Source organism: Homo sapiens, chromosome 2 (assembly GCF_000001405.40).
Source record: "Homo sapiens chromosome 2, GRCh38.p14 Primary Assembly".
NCBI classification, from domain to species: Eukaryota; Metazoa; Chordata; class Mammalia; order Primates; family Hominidae; genus Homo; species Homo sapiens.
The window spans coordinates 94,213,620-94,234,458 of NC_000002.12; the positions used below are offsets into that span (position 1 = coordinate 94,213,620).

At 39.8% G+C, this 20,839-nt stretch overlaps 1 protein-coding gene across 1 annotated transcript in view; it reads left to right on the top strand.

The window, feature by feature from the left end:
* LOC107985915 (MAGE-like protein 2) overlaps positions 1 to 19,337 on the top strand; it is a 24,996-nt gene extending 5,659 nt beyond the window's left edge. The window contains exon 5 of the mRNA XM_047446873.1: positions 18,301 to 19,337. The gene's annotated coding sequence lies outside the window, so the exon portion shown is untranslated. The remainder of the gene's footprint in view (positions 1 to 18,300) is intronic.
* Positions 19,338 to 20,839: the final 1,502 nt, after the last annotated feature.

Genomic DNA, 20,839 nt, shown 5'->3' on the forward strand with positions numbered 1-20,839 from the left:
CTACCCTGGCCTTGCACTGCTCTGGCCCTTGCCCTGACTCTGGTCCTGTCACTGACCCAGCCCCAGCCCTGTTGCTGGTCTTACCGTGGCCCAGACCCTGCCTTGGCCCTGCCCTGACACTGTCCTGGACCCTGGCTGTGCCAAGAACCTGTACTGTCCTTGCCCTTGTTTTGCTCCTGCCCCAACCCTGGTCCTGCCCAGGCCGTTTCTATGGCCCTGGCCCTGGCCCTGCCCAGGTCTTGGCACTGGCCTGGCCCTGCCCTGCCCTGGCCCTATGCTTTCCTGGCCCTGCCTTGCCGGCCCTGGCCCTGCCTTGGCCCTAGCCTGGCTTTGACCCTGCCCTGGCCCTACCTTGGCCTTCACCCTAGCCTTACCTGGGCACTGTGTTGGACCTGGCCATAGCACAGACCTGGTTGTGGCCCTGGCCCTGCCGTGGCCCTGTCTCAGACCCTAGCCCTGCCAGGTACCGGTCCTGGCCCAGCTCTGGGCCTGGCTTTGTCCCTAATTCTTAGATGACCCTGGCCCTGCCCCTGCCCTTGCCCTTGCCCTGGCACTGGCCTTGGACATGTCTGTGGTCCTAACCCTGGCCCTGTCCTGGAGCTGCCACTGTCTTGGCCGTGCCCTGGCTCTGGCCCTGCCCCGGCCCCAGCCATAGACCTGCCCTGGTTGGTCGTGCCCTACCTTAACCCTGTGCTACCCTGGGCCTGCTCCACCCTGCCCTGGCCCTGCCCTCCCTTTGGCCCTGCCCTGACCCCACCTTGGCCCTCACACTGGCCCTAGCACAGACCTGGTCCTATCTGTGGCCTTGGCCTGGCATTGACCCCTGCTCCTGACCCCGGTCCTGCCATGGCCCTGGCCCTGCCAATGACCCTGGCAGCCCTGACCCTGGCCCTGTCTTGGCCCTGGCCCTGAACTGGCCCTGCCCTGACCCTGGCCCTGAAGTGGATTTGCAGGTGTCTTGTCCCTGATTTAACCTGGCCCTACCATGGCCCTGTCCCTCCCCTGGCTCTGTCCTGGTCTTGTGCTGACCCTGACCCAGACCTTGGCCCTGCCCCAGCCTTGTCCTAGACCTGGCCATGGCCCTGCGTCTGCCCTGGACCGGCGCTGGCACTGGCATGGGCCCTGGCCCTGGCCCTGGCCCTTCACTACTTAAGGCCATACCCTGGCCCAGCCCTGGTCCTGACCCTGTCCTGGCCCTAATTTGGCCTGGCTCTACCCTGGCATGCTATTCTGGCCCTAGCCCTGACCCTGTCCCTGTCCCTGTCCTGGTCCTAGCCCCGTTGCTGGTCCTGCCATGGCCCTTGTCCTGACATTGCCCTTTCCTGGTTCTGGCCCTGGCCCTGTCCCAGCCCTGCTCTGGCCCTGGTCTGAACCCTGGCCCTGCAATAGACTGCCTTGGTCCTGCTCAGACCCTGGCTCTGGCCCTACCTCTGCCCTGGCCATACCCTTGCCCTGGCCTGGACCCCAGTCCTGGTCCTTGTCCTGCCCCAGCCGTGGCCCTGGCCCTGCCCCTGCCCTGCCTGTGCCCTGTTCTATCCTGGGCTGGCCCTGCCATGGCCTGGTCTTGCCATTGCCCTGCCCTAGCCTGCCCCGCTTGTGCCCTAGATCTGCCCCGGCCTTTGCCCCTGTCTTGGTTCTAGCCTCGACTCAGCCCTGGACCTTCCCTGACCTTGCCTCAGCCCTGGCACTACCCTGGCATTGCCTTGGCATTTGCCCTACTCTCTCTATGGCCTGGCTGTGGTCCTGCCCTGCTCTGCTCTGGTTCTGTCCTGACACAGTCCTGGCCCTGGCCCTGGCCCTGCCGTATCACTGGCTCTGGTCCTGCCCTTATGCAGACCTGACCCTGCCACTGCCTTGGCTTTGGCCTGGACCTTGGCCATACAGTGACCCTGCCATGACCCTTTCCTGGTCCTGGCCTGGAACCTGGCCCTGCCAAGGACTCGCCCTGGCTCTGTCATGGCCCTGGCCCTTTCCTGGATTTGGATGTGTCCTGTCCCTTATTTGCCCCGGCCCTTCCCTGGCTCTGCCATACCCCTTCTCTGGGGTAGGGCCAGGGTCAGGACCAGACCAGGGCAGGTTCAGGACCAGGGTAGGGCCATGGTAAGGCCTGAAGATGGGAAGGGCCAGGGCAGTGGCTGGACCAGGGAAGGGTCAGGGCCAGGGATGTAGTAGGACTAGGGGCAGAGCCGGCACTAGGGCTGAGCCAGGGCAGAGCAGGAGAGATTACTTTAGGCTATTACGTAAAATTTTTATTTTAGATTTTTAAGATAACTATAGTAGTAGTAATGTCTATACTATGTTGTTTGTAATAGTAATGATATTTGCAGTAATCACTAAATTTTAACTAATATTATCTTTGCTTCCAGTAGTGTCCTATGAGTATAATTTTATCAACATGTAAATATGTGAGGCATTGATTCTCATAATAATTCTATATGCTAGGTACTTAAAGCATCCCCATTTTCCAAATGTAGGAAACAGGCATAAAGAAGTTAAATACTTGGCCAGATTACTCCTGTAATCCCAGCACTTTGGGAGGCCAAGGCAGGCAGATGGCTTGAGCTCAGGAGTTTGGAACCAGCCTGGGCAACATTGTGAAACCCCATCCCTACTAAAAATGCACAAAAAGAACTAATTTAAGTTTCTTGTAGGATTCTGGTTATAAAACACTGGTCAAACACACAGGGCATGGATAGGGCAGGGCCAGGGACAAGGTCAGGCCAGGAAGGGGCCAGGGCCAAGGCAGGGCCAGAGCTGGACTTGGAGGTGTCCTGGTCTGATTTGCCCTGCCCCAACGTTGGCCCAGCCCTGCTCTGGCACGTCCTGTCATGCCCTGTCCCTGGCCTGAGCATTGGCCCTGGCCCTGTCCTGCTTCTGGCCCTGCCCTGGAGTTGACCAGGCACTGCCATGGCCCAGTCCTGCATTGCCCTGCCCTCCTCTGCCCTGGTGCTGCCATGGCCCTGCTTGGGCCCTAGCTCTGCCTCGACTCTGGACCTGCCCTGACTCTGCTCAGCCCTGGATCTACCCTGACTCTGCCTTGGTGTTGCCCTCCCATCTCTATGGCCTGGCTCTGGCCATGCGTCGCACAGGCCATGCTCTGCCCTGCGTGCCTCAGCCTGGGCCCAGCCCTCATCCTACCATATTCCTGACCCCAGCCATACCCTTGTTCTGGCCATGACCCTGCCGTGGCCCTCTCCTGGCCCTTCCTTGGTCCTGCCCTGCCCTTCCGTGCCCTGGCCTTGCCCTCACCCTGCATTGGCCCTGCACTGGTCCTGCCCTGCCCTGGCACTGCCTTGGCCCCGGCCCTGCCTTCTCCCTGGCCTTGCCTTTGCCCTGCCCTGGCCTGACCCCAGGCCTACTGAGTCCATGAAATGGCCCTGGACCTGCCTTGCCATCCTCTGTCCTGGCCCTGTATTGTCCCCACCATGCTCTGGTCCAGCGCTTGCCCTAGCCCTGTTGCTAGTCCTGCCACTGCTATGGCCCTGCTCTGTTTTTGGCCATGCCCTGTGCTACCCTAGCCCTGCCCTGCCTTGGCCTTGGCCCTACCATGGCCTTCTCCTACCCTGGCCTGGCCCTACCCTGGCCTTTTCTACCCTGGCCTTGCCCTTCCCTGATCTTGCCCTGCCCTGGCCTTGCCCTACCCTGGCCTTGGCTTTGCCTTATCCTGGTCCTGGTTCTGCCCTGACCCTGGCCTTGCTCTGGATCCTCTCTGGTTCTGCTTTCTCCCTGGCCCTGCCCTTGCTCTGGCCCTGTCCCTGGCCCAGCCTTGACCCTGACCCTGGCCCTGACAATCCCCAGGTCTGACACTGGCCATGCTTGGCCCTGGCCCCTCCTTTTGGCCCTGCCCTGGCCCTGCCTTAGCCCTGTGCTATCTTAGTCCTGCCCTGGCCCTGAACTCGCCCTGGCCCTACCCTCACCCTACACTGGCCCCACCCTACCCTGGCCCTGCCTTTGGCCTGCTCTGGCTCTGGTTCTGCCCTGGCCTTGCCCTTGCCCTGGACCCTCCCTGGCCATGTTTTTTCCATGGTCCTTCTCTGGCCTTGCCCTTGCCCTGTCCCCTTTCTGGTCCTGCCATGTTTCTGGCCCTGCCCTGTCCATGTCCTGGACCTGACTCTGGCCCTGGACCTCCCTGTCCCTGCCCTGCCATACCCTGGCCTGTTCCTTGCTCTCCACTGGCCCTGCCCTGCCTTGGCCCTGTGCTACCCTAGCCCTGCCCTGGCCTTCTGCTGACCCTGATCCTGCCATGGCCCTGGCCCTGCCATGTCCCTGCCCTGGCCCTGGTTCTGCCCTGCTTCTGGCCCTGGCCTTGGTCCTCTCATGTCCCTGGCTGTGACCCTGCCCCTGGTTTTTCTCTGGCCATGACCCTGCCCCAGTTCTGTCCTATCCCTGGACCTGTCTCAGTTCTGTCCTAGCCCTGGCCTTTCACAGTACTTTATGCTTAGTAAAGCTCCATGGTGTCTGTGAGTTGAATGTTGTGTTCATAGTATCTGCCAAAACAGAAAGAAGAAAACAAAATATTTTGATAAGAAGTTAAAGCTTTGTATATAATATGCCTTGAATTGTAAGTGCCTGTTATTGGTTGTATTACATATAGGTCATGGTTTTGTACACATAACTCCAAACCGTTGATACTGTTAAAAGGATATATGAATATATGAAAGAATGTATAAATGTAAGAATGTATCAGTATCTAATGACCTTTCCAAATTAATTTTTAATTTTAGCTCTATTAGATTTTTCTCAGTGTAACAAATGTTTATTCCTATGTTATTAAGGGTGTATTTCCTGTCCAGAATATTCATATTACCTAATTGAAAATTATATGATACAAAAATATAATACTATTTTTAGGCCAGGCATGGTGGCTCATACCTGTAATCCCAACATTTTGAGAGGCCAAGTTTGGAGAATCATTTGAGTCCAGGAGTTGATCAGCCTGGGCAACATAGTGAGACCTTGTCTTTGTTAAATAAATAAATAAATAAATAAATAAATAAATAGTTTGGGCACTGTGGCTCATATCTGTCATCCCAGCATTTTGGGTTGCCAATGCAGGAGGATTGCTTGAGCCCAGGAGTTTGAGACCAGCCTGGGCAGAATAGCAAGACTCCATCTCTGCAAATAATAAAATATTAACCAGGTGTGGTGGTGCGCACCTGGGGTCCCAGCTACCTGGGAGGCTAAGGTGGGAGGTTTGCTCGAGGCTGCAGTGAACTGTGAATGCACCACTGCATTCCAGCCTAGGCCACAGAACAGGACCTTGTCTATAAATAAAGAAATAAGTAAAAATATAAATAAAAATAAGTAAAAATAAATATAAGTAAATATAAATATAAATACATATAAATATAAAAATGCATACATGAAAAGAAACAATTTTTAAATTTAACATCACTGAGGGCATCCTATCCATTTCATTTCATGATTCCATTACATCATTTCACTTAGATGAAATGATAAGATGACTTGAGATGAGATGAAATGATGAGATGAAATGATGAAATGAGATGAGATGAGATGATGAGATGAAATTTTGAGATGAAATGGTGAGTAGAAATGAGATGAAATGATGAGACGAAATGACAAAATTGAAAAGAAATTGAAAGGAGATGAGATGAGATAAAATGAGATGAAATGATGAGATGATGGATGAAATGATGAGATGAAATGATGAGATGAAATGAAATGAAATAATGAAATGATATGAAATAATGAAATTGAAATGAGATGAGATGAGGTGAAATAATGAGATAAAATGATGAGATGAAATGAGATGAACGATGAGATGAAATGATGAGATGAAATGAGATGAAAAATGATGAGATGAAAAATGAGATGAAATGAAATAATGAAATGAGATGAAATGAAATGAAGTAATGAAAGGAAATTATGAAATGTAATGATGAAATTGAAATGAAATTGAAATGAGATGATTTGACATGATGAGATGTAATGATGAAATGAAATGATGAAATGAGATGAGATAAAATGAGATGAAATAATGAGATGAAATGAGATAATGAGATTGGATGAGATAAAATCATGAGATGAAATGAAATGAAATGATGGATGAAATGATGAGATGAAATGAGATGAAATGTAATGAGATGAAATGAAATGACATAATGAAATGAAATAATGAAATGAGATGAAACATAATGAAATGAAAATGAAATGGAAATGATGAGATGAGAAGAAATGATGAGATGAAATGATGAAATGATGAGATGAGATAAAATGAGATGAAATGATGAGATGAAATGAGATGAAATGAGATGAAATGATGAGATGAGATGAAATATGATGAGATGAAATGACATAATGAATGAAATGATGAAATGGAATAATGGAAATGATGAGATGAGATGCAATGAGTTGAAATGAGATGAAATGATGAAATGATGAGATGAAATGAGATGAGATGTGATGAAATGATGACATGAAATGATGACATAAAATGAGATGAAATGAGATGTAATGATGGAATGAGATGAGATGAAATGAGATGAAATGAGATAAAATGATGATATGAAATGATGAGATGAATGATGAGATGAAATGATGAGATGAATGATGAAATGATGAGATGAGATGATGAAATGAAATGGTGAGATGAACTGATGAAATGAAATGAAATAATGAAATGAAATTGAAATAAAATTGAAATGAGATGAGATGAAATGATGAGATGATGAAATAAAATGATGAAATGAGATGTGATGAGATGAAATGATGAGATGAAATGATGAGATGAGATGACATGAAATAAATGAAATAATGAAATCGAAATGAGATGAGAAGATACGAGATGAGATGAAATGATGAAATGAGATAAGATGAAAAGAGTTGATGAGATGATGAGATGAAATGAGATGAAAAGAGATGAAATGAGATGAAATGAAATGATGAGATGAAATGAGGTGAAATGAAATTAGATGAAACGTAATGAGATGAAATGACATAATGAAATGAAAAAATGAAATGAAATAATGAAATGAGGTGAAATTAAATGAGATGATGAAATTAAATGATGAAATGAAATAATGAAATGGAAATGAAATGGAAATGATGAGATGAATGATGAGATGAAATGATGAGATGAGATGTAATGATGAGAGGAAATGATGAGATGTAATGAAATGAGATGAAATGAATGAGATGAAATGAAATAATGAAAGGAAATTGAATGGAGATATGAGATGAAATGAGATAAAATGAGATGAAATAAATGATGAGATGAAATGATGAAATGCTGAGGTGAGATGAGATGAAATGAGATGAAACGATGAGATGAAATGAAAGAATGAGATGAAATGATGAGATGAAATGATGAAATGAGATGAGATGAGAAGAAATGACTTGATGAGATGAGATAAAATGATGAAATGAAATGAAGTGAAATGAAATTGAAATGAGATGAGATGAAATGAGATAAAATGATGAGATGAAATGAGAAGAAATGAGATGAAATGATGAAATGATGAGATGAGATGAAAAATGATGGGATGAAAAATGAGATGAAATGATGGGATGAAATGAAATGAAATAATGAAATAATGAAATGAAATGAATTGATAATATTGAAGTGAAATTGAAAGATGAGATTGGATGAAATGATGAGATGAAATGAAATGTTGAAATGAAATGAAGAGATGTAACATGAAATGAGCTGAAATGATGAGATGAAATGAAATGAAATGAGATTAAATGATGAGATGAAAAATGATGAGATGAAATGATGAGATGAAATGAGATGAGACGAATTGAGATGAGATGGGATGAGATGAAATAATGAAATTAGGTGAAATAATGAAATGAGATGAAATAATGAAATAAAATTGAAATGAGATGAGAAGAAATGAGATGAAATGTTGAAAAGAAAGGAGGAAATGATGAGATGAGATGAAATGATGAGATGAAATGAACTGAGATGATGAGATGAAAAATGATATGAAAAATGATATCAAAAACGACATGAAATGAAATGAGATGATATGAAATGACATAATGAAATAAATGAAGTTAGATGAAATGAAATGAAATAGTGAAATGAAATGATGAAATGAAATAATGAGAATGAAATGGAAATGAGATGAGATGAGATTTGATGAAATGATGAGATGAAATGATGAGACGATATGAAATGATGAGATGAGATGGGATAAGATGAAATGATGAGATAAAATGATGAGATGAAATGATGAGATGAAATGAAATGATGAGGTGAAGTGATGCACTGTCACGTGTGTGTCTTTTTCCCAACCAACAAAAATTATAATTCATTAATTTTAATTTTATTATTTAAGAATATTCTTAAGAGTTGAAGGAAAAATAATATCTGTACATTATGGGTTACAATTAAGTATAAATAATACATAAATATATTAAAACTTACAAAGAATATGTTTCGGAATCGAATATACCATGCTTCTGTGATGACAGTTATTTCATGCTGGTTGTCACAATTTTACATGAAAAACTAATGAAAAAATGTTTTTAACTGTTTCTGAAAATAAGTTTCCAAAACAGTTTTACATTCAAAATAGGAGAAAGATGTCTTTGTGTTCCTTAATCTGATGAGATTTTCACACTCTGCACATGATAATTGTTAGATTTTTATTGTGTTGATAAATTGTATATCAAATAAAAAGTGTTATTACCTCTTAAATTAGGATTTTTAGGTGATATAGGCAGAAAGGAAGGCAAGTTTTTATAACTTTGTCTAAATGAACTTTCTAAATGTCTGAGTATTAAAAGATAGCATGTCTATAAATCACAATGTATATATTACTGTATGACCTAGAACCAATCAAAACCATTATCTCTGATAACATTATATTGTGCCCAGTATAAAATAGATATAATAATACCTCAAACTTAAATCCAGGCATTGTCATTGAATATCTTAAGAATATGCAGCAAAGGTGCTTTTAAAAATACAAGCTAGTGATTGTACTAAATTTGTAAATCACATAGGATAGTGGGTCATTTTAAGAATATTATTTCAATCTATAAAAGTGGATGTCTTTCCTTTTTTATGTTTTCTTTAATTTCTTTCATTAATGTTTGTCATTTTTGTTGTCGAAATCTTTTACTTCCTTGGTTAAATTTATTTCTAAGTACATTTTTGTAGCTATTCTAAAAGGAATTGCTTTCTTAATTTCTTGTTTCAGCTAGTTTACTATCAATATATAGAAATGCTACTGATTTTTATATGTTGATTTATATCCTGCAACTTTATTAATTTCATGTATCACCCCAAGAAGCTTTTGGTAGAGTCTTATTTTTTTCCATGTATAAGATCACATTGTCTTTAAACAGGGACAATTTGACTGTCTCCTTTCCAATTCAGATGTCCTTTATTTCTTTCTCTCACCTAATTGTCCTGGCTAAGACTTTCACTATGTGAAATATGATTGGTGAGAATAGGCATCCTTTTCTTGTTCCAGTAAAATCTTTTTCTTGTTCACAGTAAAATCTTTCACCTTTTCCACACTCAGTATGATCTTAGCTGTAGATTTGTCCTTTATGTCCTTTGTGTTAAGGCATATATTTTCTATACTAAATTGTTGAGAAGTTTTTTGTCATGTAAGAATATTTAATTTTGCCAAACGCTTTTATTGTGTTTATTAATTTAATCATATGGTTTTCAGTATATATCCAAAGGAAAGAAAATCAGTATATCAAAGAGTTACCTGCACCCCCATGTTTATTACAGCACTATTCACAATAGCCAAGATGTGGAATCAACAAAAGTGTCCATCAACAGATGAATGGATAAAGAAATGTGACATACATATATAATGGAATATTATTTAGTCATAATAAAGAACAAAATCCTGTTATTTGTGGCAACAAGAATGCAAGTGGGCGGCATTATGTTAGGTGAAATAAGCCTGGCATAGAAATATAAACACCACATAACTATGTGTTCTCACTTATGTATGGAAGCTAAAATTTTTAATCTCGTAGAGGTAGATAGTAGAGTTTTGGTTACCATATCCTGGAAAGAGTAGGAGAAAGAAGAGTATAAGAAAAATGTGGTTAATACATACAAAATTACAGCTGGAGAGAAGGAAGAAGTTCTAGTTCTCTACAGCACTGTTGGGTGACTGTAGTTAACGGGAATTTATTGTGTGTTTTCAAATAACTAAAATAAAAGATTTTGAATATTCTCACTGCAAAGAAATAATACATGATTTAGGTAATGGATATGATAATGACTCTGACTTGATCTTTACGCATTGCATAAATATATCAAAATATCACTCTGTACCCCATAACATGTACATTTATTATATGTCAATTAAAGTAAATTTAAAAGAGAAAAAATGAGGTAAAGGTAAATGTACAGAATTTAATTACTTTTTCTTCTATAAAACCTGAGTCAGTACCAAGAAGAATCAATTTATTAGTTTTCTAAAATAAAAAAAATCAAAATCACCAAAAAAGAGCAATATCCAAGAAAGCACTGAAAATGAAACACAACATTTAGTAAGAATAGAAAACTTGGGCACTGTATCACCCTGTTCCTAGATACCGATTTACTGATGGCCATTTAAATAGAATTTTATTCTATCTAGTTCATTTATACTCCCAGAGTTTGAAATTACATTTTACCTACAATAAATGAGATAACACTTGTAAGTTATATGGTACTCTGCCTAACACACGTTAATAGCTCAATACATGTTAGCAATAAACTTTTAGTATAGTAGTCAAAGTATTAATTTCTCACATTGCAATTTCCTTCAAAGGCATAAATACAACCTCTCTAATGACTCCTTGTTCATCAAGATACCTCTTCAAATTATTCTATTTGTTTCATTCAGTATATTATCTGTGTATACCGATATTACACTCTTTTCTTTCTTTGAGGTGGAATCTCATTCTGTTACTGATGCTGGAGTGAGGTGGCATGATCTCGGTTCACTGCAACCTCCACCTCCCAGGTTCAAGCGATTCTCCTGTCTCAGCCCCCCAAGTAGCTAGGACTACAGGTGCACACCACCATGCCTGGCTAATTTTTGTATTTTTAGTACAGTCAGAGTTTCACCCTGTTGTCCAGGCTGGACTCGAACTCCTGACCTCAGGTGATCCACCCACCATGGCCTCCCAAAGTGCTGGGATTACAGGCATAAGCCACCGCACCCAGCATGATATTGCACTCTTGGATTTTGAACACTGAATATCTTCTTGAAAGATTACACCTCTTTACCTCTTCGTGCTTCAGAAATTATTTTCCTTCAAGTGTTCTAAGAGTCTAATGAAGAATGAAGTCATGTTTTATCACTTTTGACCTTAAAGATTTCAGACATGCTGAAACTGATTGAAGTATCATTTGCTACCAGATAGATTAGTTATCTCTAGTTGTAGGAGTGGGTACATCTTTAATGGTATATTCTGGGTTATTGTCTTATTTTTGATGTAGTATTCTATCAACAATTTATTAAACCTGGCATCCTTGGGTGAGCATGGATTTTTCAACTTTGGTGTTATATTGTGTTTGCTTTTAAAAACTGCTTTTGAGGCCAGGTATGGTGGCTCTTGCCCATACCCAGCACTTTGGGAGGCCAAGGTGGGCGGATTACCTCAGGTCAGGAGTTCAAGACCAGCCTGGTCAACATGGCAAAACCATGTCTCTACTAAAAACACAAAATTAGCCAGGCATGGTGGTGCATGCTTGTAGTCCTAACCACTCGAGAGGCTGAGGCAAGAGAATCACCTGAACCTGGGAGGCAAAAGTTGCTAGGTTGCTGTGAGCCAAATTCGCACCATTGCACTCCAGCCTGTGTGAAAAGAGCAAAACTCTGTCTCAAAAAAAAAAAAAAAAAAAAAAAAAAAACGACCAAAAGCTGCTTTTGAATGGAGTTGTACATACAATTTTGATGAAAAAAATGATCAAGTGCATAAGTTCATAATAGAAAAACCAATAATACTCCAGGCACAAGTTAGTACTAAAAAAATTATGTTGAATATGCTCTAATACAACATGCTTTTTCCCTTCATGAACAATTTGTGTTTTACTGAGAAGAGTCATTGTTTATGGTAGACATTAGACTACAGATGAATATGCACTTTAAACACTCTTAGTTGCTTTCTTAATTTTATATCTGCTGCTTTATGCTTCTGTTTATTTTCATTCTTTCCGATGTCCACATTCTAGTAAATTTGAATATTTTAATCCAAGTTTATATACTATTTAATATTGCTTGTATAGTTTAGTATTGTTAAGACTCAAAAAGGTTTACAGAAAGAAGAAAAAGATCAACATGTTATTAATCATTTAAAGATCATTTTGAAGTCTTTGACCTTTATATTTTAATGAATAAAATATTAGTAGTTATTAGTATAAAATAATTTATGTCTTTTGGACTTAGCATCCAGTATTTCTTTTTTAATAAAGAAAATAATTATTCTCTTGCAATATACTATGTTTACCTGGGTTTTGAAAAGTGATGTTTCCTTATATGAGAAAGCCATTTACATTTTTAAATCTACAAAGGCAAATGGAATGGTACTAAATTATTTACATAATAATGTTTAGATGGTGGCCCTTATAACATTCTTTCTATACTTCCTACAGAGTTGGGGATAGGCAATCCTAGAATATTTCTGGGAGCTAATCCTTTAGCTTGATGAATGAAACAAGACTTTTAAATAAAATTAAACTTTCAAATTATCCAGGTAATGGGCCTGTCTTTTAATTCAATGGATATGGAGCATAATGAATTATCCCCTGTTCATTGGGTAATAAGTTCTCATTCTTAATTTATAATACTCAAAATGTCCTTTAATTTTTAATTTTTGATAGTCATATCATTATCCCTAGGTATTTTAGCTTCTATCTTAAATTCTAAAATAATTTTGAAACAGGAGAAAGTATTCTTTATTACTATATGTATTAAACATCATGGTTTTCGAATTTAACTGCAAATGTATCTTTTCATTGCTTCTTGGTGACGCCCTTCACCCTATCCATATTGTCACTACCAAGTGGTGATTACTTTTCAGGTTCACATATTCTTTAGAAAAATCTTCTCTGTGCCTTATAAAGAATATGATTGTTGGCATTCAAAAGCCAGCGAAATATACATTATTAGCCTGTTGCCTAACTCATTTCTTTAAGAAACTACACTAATTACCCACATACTTATGTTTTTATTTCCTCATTATTTCTGGAGAAAACAAATATTGCTAACATGATATTTGTAAGAGAGAAAAAACTCTTTTCTTGAAAAGTGCTGTCATTGTAGTACTAACTTATAGTATCAACTTCTTTATCAACTCCTTATACACTTTTTATTCTGAGAGAAATAAAAAAGCTAAAAGTGAAGTGACTTTTTTTAACTCTCCATATTATAAGCACCCATCTTGGCAATTTAGGGTCTTTATAGTTAGGGTAAGTTGTGTCATACCGAGGTTACAAAATAAAAAGTATTTTGTCTCTTTGGGCCTTTCCTTATTCAGTAATACTGTCAGTTTGGCTTTTTTTGTAGGTCAACTTACTGAACTCAGTATTCTGAAATAATGTGTTTACTATCTTTTGATAAGCATTTAAAATATTAGATTTATTGTTACTCTTCTGCCTTCATTGGGCTGGAAGAATAATTGTTTCACTCCACAAAAACCAAGTTGCAGAGAAAAACACATAGACATTCAACTGCAAAGCAGAGAAACTTGACTATTTTCTGCAATTTTAAAGTGTATATTGAATAAAACCATCTTTTTATTTTCTTTTTTGCTCACTGGCAAATATTAACAACATCAAGTGCGTTATTATAATGTTATCTAGTTAAAAATCTCAAAAAGTTTTCATAATTACCATTTAAAAATATATAAATAAGTGACCTAATGTTAATTTTTATTGTCTGAGACCATGTCTGTTATTTCACTCTTTAAAATCAGTTAGTAATGCAGAACCTAGCACTTAGTAGATACTCAAAAATTATTTGCTGAATAAAAAAGGGTTAAACATGTAATATACACAAAATGTACTGGAAAAAATGCACCAAATAATTTTGTTATACCAGTTTAATGTAAATATTGCCTTTAAAAGATAATATAGTTTTCAGGTGTCTACAGTGATTTTGTAATATTTGTGCACATATAAAATAATATTTCCAAAAATGTAATCCAGTGGGGAAATATACTTTCTAAATTCTAGATTTATAATTTAGGGTTTAAATTATAAAATCATTAAATAAGACACAAGTGAAATATAGTCAAATATCCCCTTGGAAAAAAATTAAGTGGCCTCTAAAGTGAGGTATTCATATATGTAATTTTACAATCCCCTAGTGATAGAATTAATTAAATATGCCACCAAATTGATTAATTCCTACAGTGTTAAAAGAGAAGCACTAACAATGCCAGTGACCATGTAACATGGATTTAAGCTACAAGTCATAGAAATGTGATGAGAAGCCTCAGCACTGTAAAACCGAGGGTGGAGGAAAGCTTTTCCTCTCTCAAATGAGCTTTGCAAGGTATACTTCTTGAAGGATAGGAAGTTGAAGTGTTCAGGACTTTTATGTCTATTCTACTTTGGCTTAGTTTACATGATTCTTAGTTTATTAGCCTAGAAATGGCCAAGAAAACTTAAGGCTCAATAATTAGTTATAAATATGAAATATCCCCAATTTTTAAGATAAAAACAACTTATAAATGTATTTGTCTGTAAAAATTGTGTATATTTTTACAGGACATCTATTTCTTTTTTTATTTTTTATATATATTTTTTATACTTTAAATTCTAGGGTACACATGAACAATGTGCAGGTTTGTTGCATATGTATACATGTGCCATGTTGGTGTGCTGCACCCATTAACTCATCATTTATATTAGGCATATCTCCTAATGCTATCTCTCCCCCCTCCCCCCACCCCACAACAGGCCCTGGTGTGTGATGTTCCCCTTCCTGTGTCCAAGTGTTCTCATTGTTCAATTCCCACCTATGAGTGAGAACATGCGGTGTTTGGTTTTTTGTCCTTGCGATAGTTTGCTGAGAATGATGGTTTCCAGCTTCATCCATGTCCCTAGAAAGGACATGAACTCATCATTTTTTATGGACGCATAGTATTCCATGGTGTATATGTGCCACATTTTCTTAATCCAGTCTATCATTTTTGAACATTTGGGTTGGTTCCAAGTCTTTGCTATTGTGAATAGTGCCGCAATAAACATACGTGTGCATGTGTCTTTATAGCAGCGTGATTTATAATCCTTTGGGTATATACCCAGTAGTGGGATGGCTGGGTCAAATGGTATTTCTAGTTCTAGATCCCTGAGGAATGGCCACACTGACTTCCACAATGGTTGAACTAGTTTACGGTCCCACCAACAGTGTGAAAGTGTTCCTATTTCTCCACATCCTCTCCATCACCTGTTGTTTCCTGACTTTTTAATGATCACCATTCTAACTGGTGTGAGATGGTATCTCATTGTGGTTTTGATTTGCATTTCTCTGATGGGTCTATTTCTTTAAAACAAAGGGAGGGGAGTCTCTCATTTACATTAGTTTTTTTCATAGCCTTTTGGACTTTGCAATTTCTATGTTTTGGAACCTATTTCTTACAGTTTTTCTATGCTAAACTCTGTCCTGGTCAGTTCCAGAGTGTATGAAGAACCAAATCATGTAATTGTATGTGACCTGGCTGTAGTGGAACAAATTTGACTCTTAAGTATGCAGGCTCTAATTTTCCTGTCTGGTTTTGGTAAGTATTCCTTACATAGGTTTTTTCTTTGAAAATCTGGGATTGAGAGGTTGATGAATGAAAATTAAACCTTTCACTTTGTTGTATATAGGTTTGCAATATTTAGGTCAGAGTGGAGTTTTAAGGTCATGAAGGGGGCTGATGACTTACAAATAATGGGCTCTGATTGGGCAACTACTCATCTGAGTTCCTTCCATTTGACCTAATTAAGCTTGTGAAATTTACACTAAGCCATGAGCTCATCTTTAAAAAGTTTTGTTAAAAGATTTTCAGCTGTTCCAAATGGGACTTATTAGTGGAATGTGTTTTAAAGGATCATATCAGATGAATGAAAGGTATTTGATCCTTTCTTTCCTTAATAATAAAATGATGGTTTGGAAAAATAGGCTACAGTCTAACCACAGTGCTATTATTAGGCTTTCTTGTTAAACATAGGTCTAAGCCTAAGTATGTCAATACAACAAATACTTACTGTTTCATTTCTAGTAATAAAAAAAAAAGTCTTTCTGGCATAAGGATGATTTTGATCTGGTTATTTTGAAACATTTTTGTAAAATAAATTTACATCTATAAAGAACATTTTTATTCGTAAGGAGGGGTATGTCTCTGTGCACTGGAAGAGAGGGAGGACTAAATCACTGGGAAGTCTTATGATAAAGAAGCCATTGGCTTAAATCAGCAAAGCAAGCCATCCCTTGGTTTAAGGTGTTTTTCCTGGCCATCCTGTCTTGACTAGAACTTTACCTACACCTTCCTTTTTGGTTTAGGCAAATTATAGTATCTAAACCTGAAGTCTCAGCTCTGTGTCTTTGAGATATAAATGTTCTACCATGTCTTCTCTGGAACCTGATAACTATCTATCTCTTTAAAATGGAAGTCTAGGGAGATGACTCATCAGAAAAAGAAGAAAAAAGAGGTATTTGGAAATTGTGCAAATTAAAGCAGCCCCTGATGCCAAAGTCTACACATTCCTGAGTGAGTCAGTTCTGGCCAGTTCTAGCTGGGTCAAGAGAGCTCTGCTGGGCAGGCCTGAAGAGCAGCTGGATGGCAGACACCTGAGGAGCCAGGTGCCTGAAACTTCCCCCACCTGCTTGAGGAGCACCAAAGCCCGGGTGCTGGCTGGACAACCCCTTCTGGCTGCCTAAGCCGGTGGCAGAGGAAGGAAAAAAGGTCAGAGGCAGAGTGTTGAACCCTGCCTCCCAGGTGGGTGGAAGATGCCTGTTGCCAAACTAGGGCCCAGCTTGCCGGGTGAGGTGGGTGAACTGGTGATCCCCCGAGAGAGCGGACGTCAGAACTACATGGTCCCAGACTTCAGCTCGGCCAGTGAAGGAGAGAGAGGGTTAATGTTAACTGCAGGAGGCCCACTCTAGCCTTAAATTCTGTAATTCAAACCCTTCCCTTGGAGACAAAACAAACATAACAAGGAATTCTGAGGTCAGGGGACAAGAATCACAAGTTCCCTAGTGGGAGACTGAGGAGGCAGTGTCCTTTCTGCCCTTGGTCTGCTGGCTAAGAACCTTCCTCAGCCTGACCTTTCCACATTGCACTTTCAGCTCTGTTTGCAATTTTCCTCCTTTAGTGCTGAGGGAATCCCAGTGTTCGATCCTGAAATCTCTACGTTCCTAATGGGTGGTTAAAAAAAACCTCAGCAAGAGAAGCAGAAAATGTTTCCTCTTCCTGAAAAACTGTAGAAAGGCAGGCACCATTCTGGGTGGGACATGGTCCTTGCAAAAGTCTTTATGTTTTGTTTTTTTTTTTATGTTGAGATGAAGTTTTGCTCTTGTTGCCCCGACTGGAGTGCAGTGGTGTGATCTCTGCTCACTGCAAGCTCTGCCTCCTGGGTTCAAGAAATTCTCCTACCTCAGCCTCCCGAGTAGCTGGAATTACAGGCACCTGCCACCATACCTGGCTAATTTTTTGTATTTTTAGTAGAGATGGAGTTTTGCCATGTTGGCCATGTTGGTCTCGAACTCCTGACCTCAAGTGAGCCACCCGCTTCTGCCTCCCAAAGTACTGGGATTACTGGCGTGAGTCACTGTGCCCGGCCAAGATTCTGTTTTGATAGAACACTTGTGTCTCTCTCACCTTGTATTTAGAAAAGTTAGAAAGTAAAGGATAATGTATATAGAAAGCTTTTTGAAGACTCTTAAGAAGTTCATAAATATGGGGCACTGTGACTATGCATATGAAAATATTTCCTATCAGTTGGCAGTTACCACCTCTTATAGTGGCATGGAACCTCTTGAGTTAAACCAAGGCTCAGTGAGATTTGGTGATTTAGGTAGTGTCATTTTATGAACAAGGGGGACCCTACTCAGGTCTTTTATTTTATTATACTTCTCTTTGACATTCACTCCAGTTAAAGAACTCTTTCAAAAGACCTCATGCCTGGTCTCACGGAGATTCAAAGGTGTTTGAGTCCTTCCTTATTATGCCCTTGGAAGATGCTTTGAGGACCCCAGTGATGAATCCCAAGAACTCTGTCTCCATTATCCCTGGTATAGGGCACCTCATCACTCTGGTGTTATCCCTGAAGGGCCTTCATAATAATGTGCTTAAAGAGTCCCCTATTATGTCCTTCAGGATGGAGCTTGACTTGCCCAAATTGCTATGTACATATTAAAGAGAGGCTGGAACTGAAGTTGGTCATTTCTCACTGGATCAGTCAACAAGATTTGAGTACTTTCTGTGTGCTCTGCATCATTCTGAGTACTCTGGGGGACAGAATAAGGCATGGCTCCTGCCTTCAAGGAGTATGGAATTTAATAGAAGATGACAACATACATGATTGTAAATCTATCTACATGAGAGTGCCTAATTGTGAGATTCCTAATAAACGGCAAGATATGTTCTGAAAATCTGAAACATAAATGAGGTTGAAGAAATTGTGAAAAGTTTAGCAGAGGAGGAATAATTCGTCAGGTTCTTTAAACACAAGTAAAGGGGAAAGGAAGGACCATTTTTAAGTTTAGATATTCCAAGCGTTAGTGGTGAGGTTGATTATGGTATGTCTTCTCGTTGATGAGGGAGGAGACTGGTGAATAGTGGAAAATAAAGTTAAATAGCTAGGGTGGGGCCAAATTCTGGGTTTTAATAAAAGCCAGGCATAGAAATTTAGATTGGGGTGGTAGAAAAAGGAAGGCTTTAATAGTTTTTGATCCAATGAATGACATCATACAAGTTCTATATAAAGAGCAGTGATTTCAGGATGGGAGAGAATGGCATCAGGAAGACCCACTTGAATGCTGGTAAGTAATGTTACTAACAGTGCCATTAGTAACATTAATGTTACTAGGGCCTGGACTGATATGCTGATGGAAGTGAGAATGAAGAATAAGGTGGGATGAAAGAGATTTTGACAAGAGTTTTTTAATGAACCTGAAACGGGAAAGGGCGAGATTAACTAAGCCTGTTTGCCATGGACAGCAATGGGGTTGCTAGAAGATTAGCTGTGCGGAAAAATTATGCATTTACCTTTGGGCATAATAAAATGCAATTGACTCTCCATATTCATGGGTTCTGCATCCACTGATTCAAACAACTGTGGAACAAAATTGTCAGAAAAAACAATACAGTGATAAAAAATGATACAAATAAAAAACAACATGGTATACCAACTATTTACATAGCATTTACATCGTATTAATTGTTATTAAGTAATCTAGAGATGATTTAAAGTATATAGGAGGATGTGTGTAGGTTATATGCAAATACTACACTATTTTATACCAGTAACTTGAGCATCCATGGATTTTGGCATACAAGGGGGATCCTGGAACCAATTCCCCATGCATATCAAAGGATGACTGTATGAGTTATCTGTAAAATGGTTTGGTTGAAATGTTTAGAAAACAGCTAGAAATACAAGACTGGCTGTTGGATGAAAAAAACATAGGACTAGGAAATTCAGGTATGCTAGTCTTTTTGAGTATTGCTTAAAGCCATGGGAAAAGAGCTCTCTGTGAGTTCCAAGACAGATGCAAGGACTGGCATTCATGCACAGCTTCTAACAGATAAATCTGAAGAGTTCTTAGTATGCATGTTGACTGAAATTACTTTAGAAGTAATTTTTCTCCTGGTGATAAAAGGCATGTAAGGCTATTTTAGGAAATTGAAAAATGCAAAAAGGTATAAAGAAAAAGAAAAGATAATCATTAATAGTACATTAGTAAACAAGATTTGACTAAAGATATGACTTTCCTCCCGCTTGTTTTCTTATGCATATAAAGGGATAGGAAATATGTATGTGTGTATGTGTGTGTATAGGATCATGCACTATATATAGCTTGCTTCTTTTTCCGTTATGATAATTTTCCCATGTCATGAATTACGGCTTGCAAGTGCTTATTCTTAAAGGGCTGCATTATTTTTCATTATTTGGATTTATTATTTAATTGGAGCTCTATTATTGAACATTTAGATTGCTTCCAAAATTTTTTGCTCTTGTTAATATATTGTAATAAACTTCTGTGAAACACATACTCTTCACCTGCTACTTACATATGACTTCTGTAAGCAGAGACCTCTGTATCCCCAGGACCTAGAAGGTTACCTGGACATAGTAGTTGCTTAACTAAAAAAAATTATTGATTGAATGAAAGAAGACTATTAAATGTTCAGTTCTTCTTTTTTTATTCTGATTCCCTGTGTATCCAGGGGCCTCTTATTTGTCTGCATGTATGAGTTTGGCTGTAATGAAAGTATTGGCCGTATATGACCATAAACAGGCATTGCTATTTCTGTCACAGTTATATTTGTCATTCTGTATTAATACATCTATATGCTGATTTCTATTGAAGCATGGTTAATTTTGTTTGCTTCTAAGCAATGTAGCTACCCTACTGATGCTGATAAAATTAAATTTCTGAACCTATAAGACTGAGGATTGGGCCTAGGTTGTGGTAAATTGGCAAGATAATGGATGCTACCCTGTCAAGAGCCCTCTGAAGAGAAAAGTCTGCCACCCTTCACCAGGTAGAAACTCCTGGCAGTGCCACATTTTCCAGTTTGACGCCCTGTGATACCCTGAAAAGACAGATGTTTGACTCTTTTCAAATAATATTTTAACATATTTTAAGACGCAAAGGCATTGTGTCGGACTTTTTTCTTAAGAATATATTTC